General features: G+C 50.3%; 1 protein-coding gene across 6 annotated transcripts in view; it reads right to left on the reverse strand.

Annotated features, from left to right (window-relative positions):
- The window catches only part of GSG1L (GSG1 like), a 276187-nt gene that overhangs the window by 23083 nt on the left and 233861 nt on the right, over positions 1–19243 (reverse strand). For 4 of the 6 annotated variants that reach the window (NM_001323901.2, NM_001109763.2, NM_144675.3 and 1 more), the window contains one exon: positions 18179–18346. The exons of 1 other annotated variant lie outside the window; for it this stretch is intronic. In NM_001323901.2, the coding sequence (NP_001310830.1) occupies positions 18179–18346 (168 nt within the window). Of the gene's footprint in view, positions 1–13251; positions 13306–18178; positions 18347–19243 lie in introns of all 6 variants that reach the window. One more of the 6 variants, NM_001323900.2, reaches the window with a different exon arrangement.

Consider the following 19243-nt stretch of genomic DNA (forward strand, 5'->3'; position numbering starts at 1 on the left):
CCAAACCAAAAGAATGAGTGTTGATGCCTTAGAAAGGCAAATTTCAGTTCAACAAAAGGATAATGTCTTTTTTTTTAAGTTTTTCTTTTTTTTTTTAGATGGAGTCTCACTCTGTTGTCCAGGCTGGAGTGCAGTGGTGCGATCTCAGCTCACCACAACCTCCTCCTCCTGGGTTCAAGCAATTCTCCTGCCTCAGCCTCCCGAGGAGCTGGGATCACAGGCATGTGCCACCACACCTGGCTAATTTTGTATTTTTAGTAGAGATGGGGGTCTCGCCATGTTGCCCAGGCTGGTCTTGAACTCCTGACCTCAGGTGATCCACCCACCTTGGCCTCCCAAAGTGCTGGAATTACAGGTGTGAACCACCACGCCCGGCCCAAAAAAGTCTTTTAATAAAAACATCTTGGCTATTTTCCTGATAAAACAAGCTTGTTTCAAAAACAAACAAAAAATCTCCAACATCTTAGAGACAGCAAAAATCCCCCTATAATCACATCTCCATGTAATGGGATCAACATTGTTAGCAGTTTGGTATTTATTTTTTCAGAATTAATACTTTTTCTACACAAATAGACTCAAATTAAACATATTTTTGAAACTGATTTTCTTTTTACCTATCCAGAAATTTTTCATTTGAGTACACCTAGATCTCACCCACCTTTTTTTCTTATAGCTGTATATAAAAGAGTAATTAATATTCAATACCCCCATTGGTAGACATTTAGGTGTTTCCTCATTTTTGTTGACTCTTCCAAATAATGGTGCATGTGGTGAGTTTCCATCAGCAGAGGTGCTCAGGACTAGAGTATCACCAGTCACGAAGTCAGAACTGGACTCAAACATTGGTTAGGAGAGTGGACCAGGTAACAGCCCCTCCTCATCCCGGAACACCACCTCCCTGGCCACATCCAGCACCTCTAGGTCAACAGAGGCCTGTCCTATTGCATAAAGGGCTTCCAGCATCCTCCTGCTTTTCACAGCCTTGACCTTGAACCAACCCCTCCATCCATCCTCAGCTCCCAATTCTCCTGGTTTCTTTTCGTTGTTGTTGTTGTTGAGACGGAGTCTCGCTCTGTCGCCCAGGCTGGCATGCAGTGGTGTGATCTTGGCTCACTGCAACTTCCACCTCCTGGGTTCACGCAATTCTCCTGCCTCAGCCTCCCAAGTATCTGGAATTACAGGTGTGTGCCACCATGTTTGGTTATTTTTTTTATATTTTTAGTAGAGATGGGGTTTTGCCATGTTGACCAGGCTGGTCTCAAACTCCTGACCTCAGGTGATCCACCCGCCTCAGCCTCCCAATGTGCTGGGATTACAGGCGTGAGCCACCATGCCTGGTCTCTCCTGGTTTCTTCTCTGAAGTCTCATCTTCCTCCAGGCCTCAAGCTGGACACCTGCTTGGCTTCTGCTGGGAGCCTCAGCCTTGGGAAGTGGGGCCCTGTGAGCAAAGGGGCTGATGTCTAAGGAGACAGTCAGTCCAGCCTGGCACAATACCTTCCCTCCCTCATCACCCAAGCCTTGTTGCCCAGAGACCTCCACTCAACAGCTGACATATCCAGTAACACCTGCCGAGGAGAGAGCCAGGCCTTGTGCTGGGCTTGGGGACCACAGGGACCACCCAGAAAGACCCCTGCCCTCAAGGATCTCCTGTTGGTTTTACCCATACACAAATAACAGTGGCTTCATGTGCTAAGTTTCAGGCCAGGAGGATATGAAGAGGGTTGGCAGGGCCAATAACTATCTAGTCCAGGGGTTGGTGAACGTTTGCTGTAAAGGCTCAGACAGTAAATATGTGAGGCTTTGCAAGCCATATGTTCTCTCTCACAACTACTCAACTCTGCCCCTGCCGTGAAAGCAGACATAGACGAGATGGAAACAAATGGGTGTGGACAGTAGCAGGTGGTGGACGGGATTCGGCCTGCGTGGATAGCGTGTTAATGCCTGGTCAAGCCCAGTGGTTCTCAGCTTGGCTGCACAGTGAAGCCACCACGGGAGTTTTTAATTACAGGGAGTGGGGAGCAGGGCTGGAATGTGCAGCCTGGGTTGAAAACCACTGGTGCAGGGACCAGCGGAGGCTTCTCGGGGTGGTACCGTTTGAGCTGCATCATGAAGGCCATGGGACCTGCTCGCTTCCTTTTTATTTTGTCTTTGTTGTTGTTGTTGTTTTAATTTTTATTTATTTATTTATTTATTTTTGAGACAGAGTCTTACTCTCTCACCCAGGCTGGAGTGAAGTGGTGCGATCTCAGCTCACTGCAACCTCCGCCTCCCGGATTCTTCCGCCTCGGCCTCCCTAGTAGCTGGGACTACGGTCGTGCACCATCACACCCGGCTACTTTTTGTAGTTTTAGTAGAGACGGGGTTTCACCATGCTGCCCAGGCTGGTCTCCAACTCCTGACTTCAACTGATCCACCTGCCTTGGCCTCCCAAAGTGCTGGGATTACAGGTGTGAGCCACCGCACCCGGCCAGCTTTTAATTCTTTTTAACTTGCATTTTAGATTCAGGGTACGTGTGCAGGTTTGTTACAGAGGTAAATTGCATGTCACGGGGGTTTGGTGTACAGACTATTTTGTCACCCAGGTAATGAGCATAGAACCCGATAGATGGCTTTTTGGTCCCCTCCCTCTTCCCACCCTCCACCTTCAAGTAGGTCCTGGTGTCTGTTGTTCCCTCATCATTTAGCTCTCACTTATATGTAAGAACACGCAGTATTTGGTTTTCTGTTCCTGCGTTGGTTTGCTAAGGATAATGGCCTCCAGGCTCCATCCATGTTGCTGCAAAGGACATGATCTCATTCTTTTTTCTGGCTGTGTAGTATTCCATGGTGTGTATGTACTACATTTTCTTTATGCAGTCTACCACTGATGGGCATTTAGGTTGATTTTATGTCTTTCCTAATGTGAAGAGCGCTGCTGACCTGCTCATATCTAAGAGAGGAAGCTGAGCTCCAAGACTAGGCTTGCCCATCTTTCTATGACGCAGTGTTGCCATTCTGGAAAGAGCTGGTTTCCTTGCACAGACTTGAGGCTCTCCACCAGATTCAGCAAGCAAGACACGGGATCTGCAGAATCTGCAGGGTCTTGGCCGCCCTCTGGGCCTGACTAGGGCTTGGCAGTGGTTCTGGTCAAGGGCTGAGTGCCCCCAATGGCGGGGCTCCCTGGCAGGAAACACGGAGGGGACAAGGGTAGGCTTTGGGCACAATGAGACCTTGGGCCCTGGAGTGAGGAGGAATCATGGTTGAGCTCAGCTCTGCGATTAACAGGCAGCATGACCCTGTGCAGCTCACTGGGCCGCTCTGAATCTCAGTTTTCTTATGTGTGCACTGGGCATAATACCGGTGGTCATTTCACAACAGTAACGACCGCTGCCACTGCCACCCTGGTTGTTGTAAGGACTCAAGCCCAGGACCTGCCACAGAAGATAGGCTCAGAGCATGTTCACTACTGCTATCTTTAAACTTCTCTAATAGTCTGATAGTCTGCCTTCCCTAATACTTTTCTTTTTCTTTTCTTTCTTTGAGCCAAAATCTCACTCTGTCACCCAGGCTGGAGTGCAGTGGCACAATCATATCTCACTGTAACCTCGACCTTCTGGGCTCAAGCGATCCTCCCACCACAGCCTTCCAAGCAGCTGGGACTACAGGCACACACCACCACCCCCAGCTAATTCTTTCATTTTTTGTAAAAACAGGGTCTCACTATATTGCCCAGGCTGGTCTCGAACTCCTGGCTTCAAGTGATTCTCCCACCTTGGCCTTCCAAAAAGCTGGGATTACAGGCGTGAGCCACTGTACCCGGCCCCCTTAATACATTTTCAACTCAGAGAGAAGGATGGGGTTTCTCTCATTCTATGCTTGTAGCCTCAGGGTCTAGCACAGTGTGTGGCACAAAGTATTGTAAATAATGCAAGAAAAAATACAAAAATCAGCCAGGCGTGGTGGCGGGCGCCTATAATCCCAGCTACTCTGGAGGCTGAGGCAGAAGAATCACCTGAACCCAGGAGGCGGAGGTTGCAGTGAGCCGAGATTGCACCATTGCACTCCAGCCTGGGTGACAGAGGGAGAACCCGTCTCAAGGAAAAAAAAAAAAAAAAAAAGGAAGGGAGAGAGGGAAGGAGGAAGGGAGGTGAGGGAGGGAGGAAAAACAGTTTGAAGCTAAGAGCAGCCCACAGGGGAGGTAGCCAAGGGTCATCAGCAATGCTGGGCTCCCTGTTGAAAAAGGAGCAATGGTAAATGTCAGTACGTGACAATTTCCTTTGATTTGAACTGCAATTTCCTGCAGGAAACATTATGCATTTTCTGAAGACATGAAGACAGATTTACTTTTTTTTTTTCTTTTGACAGGGTTCCACTCTGTCACCCAGGCTTGTGTGCAGTGGTACAATCATAGATCACTGCAGCCTCCACCTCCTGGCTTCAAGTGATCCTCCTGCCTCAGCCTCCTAAAGTGCTAGGATTACAGTCATGAGCCATCGCACCCAACCAGATTTGCTTTTTTCATAAGATGGTGGTGGTGTAAGAAACATCCACTGATATGGTTTGGATATTTGTCCCCTCTAAATCTTATGCTGAAACGTGATCCCCAATGTTGGAGGTGGGGCCTGGTGGGAGGTATTTTGGTCCCTCATGAATGGCTTGGTAATAAGTGAGTTCTCATTAGTTCAGGAGAGAGCTGGTTGTTTAAAGGAGCCTGGCATCTCCACCTCTCTCTTGCTCCTTTGCTCATTGTGTGATGTACCTGCTCCCGTTCTATCATAAGTAAAAGCTTCCTGAGGCCTCACCAGAAGCTGAGCAGATGCTGGCACCATGCTTCTTGTAGAGCCTGCAGAAACACAAGCCACATAAACCTCTCTTCCTTATAAATTACCCAGCCTCAGGTATTCTTTTATGGCAATGTGAAACAGACTAACACACCCATAAATCTAAATAAGGTCCTTGAAGGGCTGATGGGGATGCTTGGTGTGAAACAGTGCTCAGAACAGGCATCAGGTGGAACCGGGCACCCCAGACGTGTCACATCCCTCCAGGGGTTGGGGCAGTGGCTCCACTACTCACCAGCCCTGTGCCTGGACAAGTCTTGATTTTCTCATCTGATGAATGGGCACATAATATACCTATTCTTCTGGTTATTATAAGGATTAAACTAATTAACAATGCACAGCATGCTGGACAATATAGGGAGATCTAGTCTCTACCAAAAACAAAACAAAAAAAATTATCCAGGTGCTAAGGCTCATGCCTGTAGTCCCAACTACTCGGGAGGCTGAGGTGGGAGGATCACCCAAGGCTGCTGCAATGAGCTATGATTGCACCACTGCACTCCAGCCTGGGTGACAGAGCGACACCCTCTCTCAAATAAATAAAACAATAAATAAATGTAAAGCTCAAGCTATTTAGAGCAGGACTGAGAACACTGCCTGGTGCTTGCCATTATTATCACCATATTATTGTTACTGTTGTCACCATTGTCATCCTTACCTCTGCGGTCTTTCTGGTCCTGTCACCCTGTGACTGCATATTCAGCCCCACCTCCCAGTTCCAGAGGTGGAAGGTATGAACTACTGTAATGCACTATCCGGTGCCCCCTCCCCAAACACACACTCCTTTCCTCCATTCCAGCATTTAGAGCTGTCGCTGTCATTGCCTCAGGAAAGGGATATTTTGCAAGAAGCAGAGGAAGGGCTTCAAAGGTATCGAAAACCTCTGGATTCAGGGCAGGCAAAACCCACAGGAGGTCACGGCACTGCCCTTTGCCCCAGAAGAGACAGAGTCCCCCAAACTGGGGACAAGGAACTTCAGAGCAGGAGCTAAGTGTGAGTAGATGCTGTGGTGCCTAGAAAGATGGAAGAGCCCCAGGGAAAGTGACAGTGACAAAGGCACCTGTTCAGACGTGAACAGCACCAGCCCTATTTCGCAGATGGGAAAGGTGAAGCGAAGACAGATTTGTAACTTTTGCCCAGTTTCTTGGTAGCCTGGCTGTCCAATACAAAACAGAGCCCTGTTTCAGTGTTTGTGAACTGCCATGGGGTAAAACCGTGGCTGAACTGAAGGGACCTCTATGACATCACTGAATGTGGAGCTGGGAGGAGATTTGCACAATGGGCCTTCGTGAGCAGTCCTGGTAGCTCCAACCCTGCAGCTGGCTTGTGGCAGGGCTGGGATCTGAGCTTGGGTTTATGGTCCCTGGAGCTAGAGCGAGTTTCCACGGTACCCTGCCGACTCCCAGCAGGCAGGGGATTCCTGATCAGACCCACCCCAGGCAGGCTTGCACTGTGAGGTCCTCATGGAAAGTGGGGCTGGGGACCCTCCATCACTGGCTCTGCCAGAACTGCTGCAGAGGTGTTGGAGGTGACTGTGCCATGTCACAGTCACTGTCCCCAATAGCCCACCATAGTCTGGAGTCTGATGGAGGCTGGGTGTTTGCTCTTTTTAGGAGAAAAGGCGGATGAAGGCAAGTGATGGAGCTGGGAGACTCTGAGGACACTGAGGGAGGGTTTCAGGGAGGACCAGAACTGATATATCACTAGGAGGCCACACTGTACCTGCCGGCCTGATTCCAGGGCCGAATGTGGCCACAATAGCCAGGGGCGTTATCAGGGGGCCTACCAGGCCCCATCTCTGCTGTGGCAGGGGTGGGTGTCAGGTGCCCTGGGGCCTCCCCAGCCTCCACTGCCCCTGCTCCAGGCTGTCATCCCCCGCCATGTTCTCCACCCTATATGGTTCCATCTGTGCCATCCTCAAGGCCAGCCCCTCTCTCTCTGGCCCCAGACTGACTCTGTTTCCCAAATATCCAGCCACTGCCTTGTATGAATTAATAGCCTACATGCTGTGCTTCTGCAACTATCTGTAATAAAGGACTAAGACTCCCCCCACCCCCTTAATTTTCTTCTCTTTTTTAGACACGGGGTCTTGCCCTATTGCCCAGCCTGGAGTGCGGTGGAGCAATCATAACTCACTGAAGCCTCCAATTCATGGGCTCAAGTGATCCTCCACCCACCTCGGCCTCCTGAGCAGCTGGAATTATAAGTGTGTGCCAACATGTCTGGCTCCCACTTAATTTTCAATCTGTCTTGAACCAATTTTTTCATAAAAAATGAAAATGAAATGAAAAAAATGCATAGAAAAGGCAAGCATGAGTGTCCAGCAATGTCAATTTGTTATGAAAGCTTCCATTTATCTCAATTTCTGTCCTTACATCACGAAGGATGTTTGCAAACGGGCAATGGTCCAGGGACCACACTTTGAGTAGCACTGTTCTGTAAGGCCCTTTTCTCTCCTCTGGCCTTGGCTGGCCACATCCACCTCCTGACCCTATGACTGGGGCTGCACCTGCTCTATCCTCCAGCCCAGTACTTCGCAAATTTAACGGTGCTCCAAGATCACCCGAGAAGCTTGTTCACATAAAGCCTCTGATTCAGCAGGTCTAAGGTGGGGTCTGAGATTCTGCATTTTGAGCAGGCTTCCAGGTGAGGCCAGCGCTGCTGGGTCCAGGCTTTGGCCAGGTGAGGGGCTCAGCCCAGCCCAGGCTTCCCATCCTCTCCCCATGGTCCTGGTGGCAAATGGCCATGATCAAAGAGCCAGCCACCTCCTTCCCGCCTCTGAAGCTCCCTCCAGCCGGCAGATATTTAAAAGAAAGCATGAAAGTTCAGGGAGTGAACATTCCTTCCAGATTCCTTCCAGATGTTCCTTTCAGATGTTCCTCCCACCATCCTTTGATAATTTTTTCACTTCAAGGACCATCTTGTGTTTTCACCTCCCCGTGTATGGGTGCTGGCTGACGATCCGATCACATGAGCCGCGTGAAGGCTCTGAATCTCCACGGTGCCATCTCCAGTTTCTGGGCATCGCGTTCCTCTCAAGAATGAACGGCGATTTCAAAGGACCCCAACACTGGGTGATGGCGTGCAAAGTGTTACCGAGAAATAAACTTCAAGCAGTGAAGACAGATGGATGAGATGGAGCTGTGATTGAACATGTCTCAGAGGCTAGACATCTAAGAAACAGTCGCAGAGGACAAAGAACACATTGATTTTTAAATAAGCAATTCACGATGGAATGAAAAATGGAATTAAAAGGAATTTTGGGCAAATAAATGACTGCAGGTAGTAAATTAAGATTCCATAACATCACGTAAAAAGGGTCATTGCAAGTTAGGGGGAAATAAATGGGTTTTTAAGAAGGACTTTTTTTTTTCTTTTCCCATTTTCTGAGTAAATATCATCATGATATAAAACATTTGGAAAATAACACAGAAGGAGATAAAGCCATGCGCATGTCAGTGCCTTAGCTTGATCTTTATGTGTAATTTACAGTTTTGTCTCCCGTTTCTCCAATACTGGGTTTTAAAAAGAGACCTCGGCCGGGCGCGGTGGCTCACGCCTGTAATCCCAGCACTTTGGGAGGCCGAGGCGAGTGGATCACAAGGTCAGGAGTTCAAGACCAGCCTGACCAACAAGGTGAAACCCCGTCTCTACTAAAAATACAAAAAAATTAGCCAGGCATGGTGGCATGTGCCTGTAATCTCAGCTACTAGGGAGGCTGAGGCAGGAAAATCGCTTAAACCGGGGAGGCAGAGGTTGCAGTGAGCCAAGATCACGCCACTGCACTCCAGCCTGGCGACAGAACAAGACTCTGTCTTAAAAAAAAAAAAAACAGACCTCTAGATATTAACACCTTGAAGTTACACTTTGGTTATTTCTAGAATCGCATGGGTTAGCAATGATTACCTGGCAATACAAATAATCACTGGCATGGTGGTGGTCCCCATCCCAAAACCCCATCCCCATCTTTGACAACCCCTAAGGAGTCCCTCCACCCATAAAGGCCGTACCGACAGCACGAAACCTCCAGACAGGACTTGTCTCAGAAGTCCCTTTCAGCACCCAGACGACGCCAGGAGGGAGAACAGACGTGAGGATACCTGAGGCGTGATGCTGCCCAGCTTGGCGGAGGAGACGGTGGGGAAGGTGTCAGGCAGCACTCCAGCAGAGAGAAGAGTGGGTCAGAGCTGCACAGGCCGGAACATGGCCGGGCTGGGGAGCTGTGTATGATCAGGAGATGCTGCATGCAGGGCAAGGGGCCCGGAGTACACGGTGGGACTCTGAAGTTATGATGAGGAATTGGGTCTTTGTCCTGAGAGCCATGGGAAACCACTCCAGTGTTTTAGGCAGAAAGATGGGGGTCCTGTTACCCTGATGACGTTAGCATATTGAGGAGGCATTGCAGCTTCTGGGGTGAGAGTAGATTAGAGGGGACAAAAATGGGTGTGCAAAGATCATGAAGAAAGTTGCTGGATTCACCCAGGTAAGTCCTGTTGCAGCCACAGACTAGGACGATGGAAGTGGAGGCAGAGAAAAAGGAAGGAGACATAAAGAGAAGGCCCTGGGCTTGTGGTGAGCGGGAGGGTCATGGGTGGTGAAGAAGCAGCGGCATCTGTCAGGACTGCAGGTTTCCAGCTTGCACAAGCAGAGCCACTTATGGAGGGAGAGATGGAAATAAGACTGCATTTGGGGGTGTGAATATCATGAATGAGTCTTGGACATATTGATCTGAGGTGCCTTTGAGAATCCAAGTAGAAACACCAAGGAAGCAACTGCATATGGCATCGGGTGGGGCGGAGCGGGTTCTTCTAATATGGGGGCCCTCGGCCACGTGGCCATGGAGGATGAGGAGCTGCACATCATAGAAGGGAAGACAGCCCTGTAGGAAACCAGAGACGGCGTCGGCACACAGGACCAGGAGAAGTGGCTGTGGGAGCCGAAGAGAGAGCAATTCGGGAGGCAGGTGGGTGCCGTGCCAGGCTGCCGAGAGCTGCTTCGTGGAGTGAGGGGGTGGGAGCCAGATTGGAGGGGGCTGGACGGTGAGTGGGAGGTGAAGATGTGGAGACAGGCCCTTCACAAGGCTCCCCCACAGCAAACAGGAGAGAGAGAACAGGAGCCATTGGGGCATGCGGTTGACGTGCCCATCCCTGCTCAGCCAATCCGGTGAATGTGTAAGGAGCCAGGTTGAGGTCACCCCTTCCCTGTGCACAAACCACTTTTGTCCATGCTGGTTTCTTGCAGATCTGAGATCTGATGGCTTTGTGTTGGGCTGGGAGTGCAGCGAGCACTGGCATCAAGGAAGGGGGCTTTGGATGGTTCCTACTCCATCTCCTCTCTCTTAGAAGATAAATGCATCCCAGTGATAGACAGATAGCTGCTACCACCAGCCTCCAACCCCAGACACCGTGGGAGGAGAAGAGAGATCAGAGACCCAGGCACAACTCCCATCGAGGCGCTCACTCTCAAATCACACCAAGTTGCTTAGATTTTCCTAAATGTGCTTCGTGTGTCGGCCCCTCCTGGCCTTTGCTTGTTCTGTTCCCCGTGCCTGAAATAGCCTTCCTCACCCACTGCCGATCTGTCTGGTGAATGCTGCATGAGTATTGAAAAACTCAGCTCAGGGGTCTCTTCTGTGAAGCCTCTTCTATCCTATACCTCCCACTGGGACTGGCCCCTCCTGCCTGAAGCCACTTCCGGGAGACTCGATTGTGCCACCCAGTTGCACTTTGCTGTGGTGTGAGCAGGGGGCTGTGAACTCAAGTGTTTCAGCCTGTTGTTGCCATGCTGGAACATGGGCCCAGTGTGGCCAGATCTCTGCTTTGTCATGAAAAGCCAAAAACCTTGATTTTTGATTTCTTGTATTTTTTTTTTTAGATTCAGGGGTACATGTGCAGATTCATTACATGGGTGCATTGCATGATGCTGAGGTTGGGCTTCAGTTGATCCCATCACCCAAACCCTGAACATAGTACCTGATAGGTGGTTTTGCAACCCTTGCCTTCCTCCCTCCCTGCTCTTGCAGTCCCCAATGTCTGTTGTTCCCGTCTTTATGTCCATGTGTACCCAGTGATTAGCTCCCACTTATAAGTGAGAAAATGCCATATTTCTTTTTCTGTTTCTGCAAAACCTTGATATTTTAACATGAAATCTCCTGATTTTTAAAACTCAGCCCAAATTTAAGAATTTTGGGCCGGGCGCGGTGGCTCACACCTGTAATCCCAGCACTTTGGGAGGCAGAGGAGGGCGGATCCCGAGATCAGGAGATCACGACCATCCTGGGTAACACGGTGAAACCCCGTCTCTACTAAAAAAATACAAAAAAAATTAGCTGTGCGTGGTGGCGGGCACCTGTAGTCCCAGTTACTCAGGAGGCTGAAGCAGGAGAACGGCGTGAACCCAGGAGGCAGAGCTTGCAGTGAGCAGAGATCACGCCACTGCACTCCAGCCTGGGTGACTGAGCGAGAGTGTCTCAAAAAAGTAAATAAATAAATAAATAAATAAATAAGAATTTTGAAACCACCATGCAAGCTAAACAAAACACATCTGCAGGCCAGATTCTCCAAGGACTACCATTTGCCGCTTGCTACAGGCCCCCTTTTCAGGCAGGGAGTGTATCTTATTTGCCCTGCACAGAGGGAGGTCTCTAACAGAGGGATGGGGTGAGGGGGGCGGGGGCAGGGAGAGGGGAACCCCAGCTTTGTTTCCAGAAACATAATTGTATCATTTCATAAAGTCCTCACAACAAAGCCTCAAGGTAGGCATTAGCTCATTTTCCAGCCAGGAAAATTGAAGCTCGGAGAGGTGAAGCGAGTTACCTGGGGACTCACAGCTAGTAAACTGCGAAGTTAATTCCAACCCTGGTCTATTTCTTCAGGCGTTCCACAAGGGCTGAATGCATGAAGTCAGCCAGGCGCTCAAACAGTGTCTGCAACAGGAGGCACTGCATAACTTTCTACTATACTTAACAATAGAATTAATGTTTTTTTGGTTTGGTTTGGTTTTTCAAGACAGGTTCTTGTTCCGTAGCCCAGGTGGGAGAGCAGCGGCGCCATCATAGCTCGCTGAAGCCTTGATCCCCCGGACTCAAGTGATCCTCCCACCTCAGCCTCCCTGAGTAACTGGGACCACAGGCACATGCCACCACACCCAGCTAATCTTTTAATTTTTTTGTAGAGACAGGGTCTTGCTATGTTGCCCAGGCTAGTCTCGAGCTCCTAGACTTAAGTGATCTGCCTGCATCAGCCTCCCAAGTGCTAGGACTACAGGCGTGAGCCACCGAGCCTGGCCTAATATTGTTAATAATTAATACCGTAATTGATTGGGCCTCTGTGGTTCTAGGTGCAGGGACAGAGTGGTAACCAGGAAAAGCAGGCTCCCTGCTCTCGTGGAGTGTGCACCGAAATGGGCCAGACATAAACACGAAAATAAATAAACAAGTAATTTCAGAGAGTCCTAAGTGGTACAGAGAGAGGTGCAGGGGTCCCAGGAAGGAAGATCTGCCCTCCCAAAAAGCTCCGGGGGCTTCCGTCCCCCACACAGTGCCACATTCCCAAGTGAGGCGGGTCATTTGTTTGGCACAGCTGAATTCCCTCTGGGATCCAATCCAACAGGTCTGATTTTCTTCCACACATTGTTAAACCAGATCTGAGCATTAAGTATTCAAGAAAGCCCCAATCTGCAAATATTTACCTTTCATTCAGCAGCATCTGACCCTCCCCTTGGGAGGCCCGATTAAGACGAAGGAGGGGACGACAGGCAGGGTGACGCTGGGAGGGTTTAATTCCAGATGTTTCTCAGGGGTGGGGCAGGAATTGGGGGGTGCAGGCCCTCCAATCCAGCAAACCCAACACATGTGCATACTGGTCCTTCCACATGACCATGTGCACATGCATACGCACACGCACACAGACGCGCACACACACACATAATACGCCTTTCTTCGACAGCGCTGAACACCATTTCAAATCTGCCCAACTGCTCCTCAGCCATGCAGTCGGCTCTTGCAGAGGGTAATCCAACAGGACATGGGTGGTGGGGGTAGGGGTGGGAAAGGGACAGTTTAATTTCTTCCTGTCCATCAGCCCCCGCAGGGCACTACCTTGTCGCTGGTCTCCAGGAGGACAGCAGGAAAGACTCGGATGAAATGGGCTCCAGAAAGCCCTCTCCCACAGATAGGAAACGTGGGGGCGTGAGGGAGCCCATGAGCTCTGTCCCACAGAATGCATCATACCAGAAACCCACTCACGGTCTGTCTCTCACCTCACCTGCCCCTCCTGCGATGAACTCCTCAGCCATGGGACTCCCTTTACTCTCATTGTGTGCCCAGGTCCTAGCTCAATACCCAGCAGAGATAATTGATCAAGCCTGAGAGGCCACACAGCACAGGGAAGGACTATGTGGCCTGGGCTTAAATCCCAGCTCTGGCACTTACCAGCTGTGTGACCTGGGGCAAGTCGCCCTCCCTCTCTGTGCCTCGATTTGCCACCTGTAAAATGGAGGTGACAATAACACTTACACATAGAAAGGCATCGCAGAAATTAACTGAGTCACATCTGAGGTATTTAGAGGAGAGCCTTATACAGGGCCACAGATAATAACGAGATTATCAGCCATGCTTCGAAATACCCTCGCCATCTCCATCCTAAGCTGGTCATGACCAAGCTCATGCTTCACTCTGGGGTCTGGTGAGGGCATTAGGAGCAGAAGGGACAGGAACTCACACACAAAAAGCCCTCCATGTGCCAGGCACTTGGCGCGGCATGTCACATGGGTTTTCAAATTTGAGCCTCCCTGAGACACCAAGAGCTCTGGATTCTCCCATCCTGGGTCACAGGAAACAGGCTCAAAGGGGCTCAGCGCCTCACCCCAAATTACATAGCAGCAAAGAGATAGATTTGGAAAACTCACTCCAAACCCCTGCTCTTTCCACAGCACCCTCTGTCCCCCGTGGAGGAGAAGGAAACCTGGGCAGGTGGGGCCATGGATCGCCCTCCCTTGAGTTCCTGGCTGCGGCTCCAAGGATGCTGGCCACTGTAAGATGTCAGCCCTGCATCTGAGCCATCCTGCAAACCTATGCAGACATCTATGTGCTCTGAGCTCTTTGTAGGGAAAGCACAAAAAAAAAAAGAAAAAAGGAAAAGAAATAGAACAGCCTGGCTAAGCTGAAATGCTCTCCTCAGAGGGGAAGGGAAATAAAATTTGATGAACCTCTGCATAATGTTCAAGTTATGAATGTGTAAAGTGATATTCTGCACATATGCTGGGAAGAATTCATCTTGGGGCTGAGCTGTTAGGAGCCATTGGAACTGGGGCACCAGCAAACAGCAGCTTCTTGTTGATGGGGTACGGAGAGGTCTTGTCTTCTGCCTCAGCAAAATGAGGTGTGTTTTACCCACAGATGCCCAAGGAGGTGAATCTCCGTAGCAGGGGTGGCAACTGACCGCAGTGCTAATGGGGCAGCTTTGGACATCTGGCTGCTTATGTGTCTATTGCAAACACTTGCTGAGTGCCCACTTCGGGCCCTGTGCCATGCTGGGCATTGCCACCATCCACAGCCTGGGACGAGATGAGCCGCATGCCAGGTTAGCCGGATCTTCCTGGCCACTGCTGCCTGGCCCGAGATTGAACACCTGACCTACACCGAGCAATCACATCCTCTCTCCTGGGGCTTTGGCATGGAAGTGCTGGGGCACTGAATCAGCGAGATGATGGTGGAGATGGAAATAAAAGAGCATGAGGGAGCCAGGGCTGAGGCCTCCAAAGACAAGAGTCTAGTCAATCACCAGAAAACCCTGAATGAGCTCCTAGTAGGTGCCTGGCCCAATTCTAGGCTCCTGGTCCACAGTGGGAAACAAGACGGCATAGGTCTTCTATCCCAGAGCTCACAGTCTGCAAACTGGCAAACAAATAAAGAAAATCCTGGCAGGTTGTATCAGGTGCTATGAAAAAATAGAAATGGTGCCAGGCATACTGGCTCATGCCTGTAATCCCAGCATTTTGGGAGGCTGAGGTCAGAGGATTGCTTGCGGCTAGGAGTTTGAAGCCATCTGGGACAACCAATAGCAAGGCCCCCATCTTTACTAAAAATGAAAAAATTAGCCAGTCATGGTGGCACATGTTACTTGGGAGGCCAAGGAGGGAGGACCACTTAAGCCCAGGAGGTCGAGGCTGCAGTGAGCTGTGCTTGTGTCACTGTACTCAGTCTGGGTGACTGATATGGTTTAGCTGTGTCCACCCAAATCTCATCTTGAATTGGAGTTCCCATAATCCTCATCTGTCATTGGAGGGATCCAGTGGGAGGTAATTGAATCATGGGGACAGTACCCCTAATAATGTCCTCATGATAGGGAGTTCTCATGAGATCTAATGGCTTTATAAGGGGCTTTTCTCCACTTTGCTCGGCATTTCTCCTTGCTGCCGCCATGTGAAGAAGGACGTGTTTGCTTCCCCTTCTGCCATACTTCTAAGTTTCCTGAGGCCTCCCCAGCCCTTCTGAACTGTGAGTCAATTAAACCTCTTTCTTTGATAAATTACCCAGTCTCAGTTGTGTCTTTATTAGCAGCATGAGAACCGACTAATACAGCAACAGAGTGAGACCCTGTCTCCAAAACATAAAAAATAGCAATGGGTTAGAGTGTCTAGGATAAGGTTGTGGGGAGTGTGTGTTTAGACCCAGTGATTAGGAGAGGCCTCACGGAAGCATCCCGTGGCACAGTAAGTAGAAAGGTCCCAAGGTGGGGACGCACTTGGAGTGCCTGAGGGATGGAAAGGAGGCTGATGTGGCTGGGGAAAGACACAGTGGCAGGCTGAGAGAGGGGCCTGTTACAGTCAGGGTACCTGTGTGGGTCTCCTCACCCCATGCGCTGCCATGCTTCTCTTCTGACTGAAACCCTCCCAAGGGCCCCACAGACAGTCCAGCTCCTCATTGCTGCCCCACCCTGCAGCCTCCTGTCCCCTTCCTCGTCCTCGTCCTCTGCTGAGCCCTGAGGATGTGCAGTGATGCCTTCCTGCCACTGAAAGGTGTTAATGCCCATCTCCTTCAGCTCCCCCAGAAGTAGGCCCTGTGATAAGGATTTGGGTAAAGGTAGTTTTCTTGAGGGGAGGCGGTCCCAGGAACTATGGGTAGGGAAGAAGGGAAGTGCGACAGGGAAGGGACGGAGCCAGCAGAGGATGTGATAAAGGCTGATCCCTGCTAAGGGCACCTGGAGACCAGTCCCATGGCAGAGCGTGCCCCAGGCCGTTTTGCACCCAAGGGTGGGAAGGTGGGTCTTCATCCACCAACACCCACCAACTCCTGACAGTATCAGTCTCCTGGGCATTCCAGTAAGCCCCACGTGTTGGGCAAAGCAGATTCTGGGGTCAAAGAGGGTCCTCAAGGCTGAGAGTCACATGGACTTGTGAGAAGCCCCCAGCCTGTTCATGAACTGTGAGTACTGAGCAGATCTGTCCAGGGCATAACAGCACCTGCATGGGCTCAAGCAGCTGCCTGAGTTAAATCCTGGGGCTGCCTCTTGAATCTGGGTGGCCTGATCCTGAGGCACTGCCAGCTCTGATTTTCTTCATTCTAGGAAAGAGCCACGCAGACCTGGGGCCCAACTCCCCTTCCATCACTGTGCAACCTTACATAAGTGTCTTAACTTCTCTGAGCCTCAGTTTTCCTCATCTGTAAAATGGAGCTAACAGTCCTAACTGCATAGTGAAGTCTTAAGGTTGAAATGAAATTCCTGGGCACAGGGCCTGGCACATAACTTGTGCTCCATAAATGGCAGTTATGATGGTTGACTCTGACCTAGGGCTGCTGTTCTATATCCCCTCTCTCAAGAGGAGAGACTGGGAGCATAGGGACCCCAGGCCAGATCGGCCATTCGCGGGTACCTCTAGGTGCTGCTACTGATTGGGATAGGCCTGGGAGGCAGACAGAGCTCAGAGAGAGTAACAGCCTGTGATTGTGCAAGCCCTGCCACAAACATAGGCACAGCAGCTCTAAGGATGTAGGCTGAGTTAAAGAGGGCAGCAGACCCTGACAGCCCAGAAGAGACTGGAGCAGCTAGCAGGGTGTAGGTTGGCACTAGGTTGGAGAGTGGTAGTGGTAGCTGGCCCATAGGAGCAGTTCTGGGTGGAGCCAGGAGAGCAGTACAGAGTGAGGTGGATACAGCAGAAACAATGAACTCATCCCCTGGAGGAAAAGCTCAGAAATTTCTGGTTTCAGGCTGCTGATGCTCTCTCTGAGTGGCTTCATCAGAAGAAGGTGTCTGGGAGGAGTTCTGCCTAAGGATATCTCCAGCTTCTAAACTCCTGAAATTCATCCAGCCAGCCTTCTGCCTGTCTGTCCTTCCACTCATACCTACTCATCTATACCTCTGCCTATTTACTTATCAATCCATTCATCCAACCATTCATCCATCTACCCATCCACCCACTCACCATTCCATCCATCCATCCATCCATCCATCCATCCATCCATCCATCCATCCCTTCACCTACCCATCCACCACTCATCCATCCATCCATCCATCCATCTACCTACCCATCCACCAACACACCTATCCATCCATCCATCCACCTACCCGTCTGTCCACTTGTCCATCCGTCCACCTACCTATCCACCCTATCCACCCAATCATCCATCCATCCATCCATCCATCCATCCATCCATCCATCACCTACCCATCCACTCACTCACCTATTGATCCATCCATTCATCCAGCCATCCATCTACCTACCCATCCACCCGCTCACCTGTCCAGCCATCTGTCTATCCATCTACCCATCCACTCACTCTCCTATTGATCCATCCATTCATCCAGCCATCCATCTACCTACCCATCCACCCGCTCACCTGTCCAGCCATCTGTCTATCCATCTACCCACCCACTGTTTATTGTCACCTCCTCTAATCCCAGCTGGACCCTGAAGACTTGGGTGATTACATGTAGTTCCCAACATTGAGAAGCCATCCTCCTCCTGGAGCCATCACCAATCCCACAGCTGGGTCCTCTTTTCACTCAATGCCATGACAGAGCCCAAGAAGGAAACCTTGGTTCGGCTTCTTTATCTCTTTATCATGGTTCCAAGAAGCATAGGACCTAATGGTAAATGCTCAAACTTGGTTCCCTTCTGGGTTTCTAGTGCTTTGATCACATAAGCCCAAGGCAACCTCATGACCTATAAAACATTAAAATATCCCAGAAATTCTGACATAGTGGCGTCCAAACTCTGCCTTCTTCTGCCTCCCCCCTCCATAACCCCTCTGTCATACCATTCATTCCAGTTTTTGACTGGGGCCCGGTGGCCACTGAGGCCAGGCCGTGGGCTTTAGAGTCCCCGTGGTGGCCAGAGGTAACCCCCTGTGCACTGACCTCTCCCGGAAGTACTTGATGGCCTCAGGGTCTATGAAGGTCGGCTCTTCCCGGTAGCCCTGCTCAAAGACCTTGCGCTTGTGCCGGAACTCAATGACCGTCTTGGTGTAGGAGTTGAGCGTGGTGACAGAGGCTGCCATGCAGCAGGTAAAGGAGCCCCACGCCAGGCTGCCAAGAGATCAGGAGAGAGATGCCATCGTGAGGGTGGGCAAGGGACAGGAAAAATCCCACACCCACCAAACATTCATTCATCCCTGCATGGCTGCCTTTTCCTCTGGTACTTAAGCAGTTACTGCCACAGAGAAGGATAAGACTTGGTCCCTGCCCCACTCGCAGTCTGGGAGACAGAGAATTATCTGCACATTGTGATGCAGATGTAACAGAGTTCATTATGGGGAGGCAAGAAGAGAGTGAATCATTCTGTCCAAGGGGGCTGGCATCAAGGAAAGTTACCCAAAATACAGCGACACTTATGTTCAGTCTGGTAAGGAGAGTGAGAGTTGGCCGGGGGAAAGGGCATTCCAGGAGAAGGAATAGTGTGTACAAAGGCATGGAGGCATCAAACAGCAGGGAATGTTCTACAAACTGTGGGAGGTTTGGGGAGCAGAAGTGAGGATGCATGAGAAGATTAGCTGGAGTTGGTGATGGGGAAGGAGATGGGGGCAGACACCCTAAAAGCTCATTTTTTATGAAAGTTAAGTTACCTTTGTTCATGTATGACCCTGGGAAAGATGCCAACCCTTTCTGTTTCACATTCCTCATGACTATTTGTTTTAAACACAGGGATTCGCTCTGTTGCCCAGGCTGAAGTGCAATGGTGCGATCATAGCTTACTGCAGCCTCAACTTCCTGGGCTCAAGTGATCCTCCTGCCTCAGCCTCCCAAAGTACTGGGATTATAGGTATGTGCCACTGCTCCCAGCACCTCCTCACGTTCATCGTAATGGACAACAGCACTACCTCATAGGGTTGTTACAAGGATTAAAGGAGATGATCCACTGAAACCATCTTAGAATAGTGTCTGGCACATAGTAGGCACTCAAGAAAGTCTTGCTGTCATTATTAT

This window comes from Homo sapiens, chromosome 16, assembly GCF_000001405.40.
Source record: "Homo sapiens chromosome 16, GRCh38.p14 Primary Assembly".
NCBI lineage: Eukaryota > Metazoa > Chordata > Mammalia > Primates > Hominidae > Homo > Homo sapiens.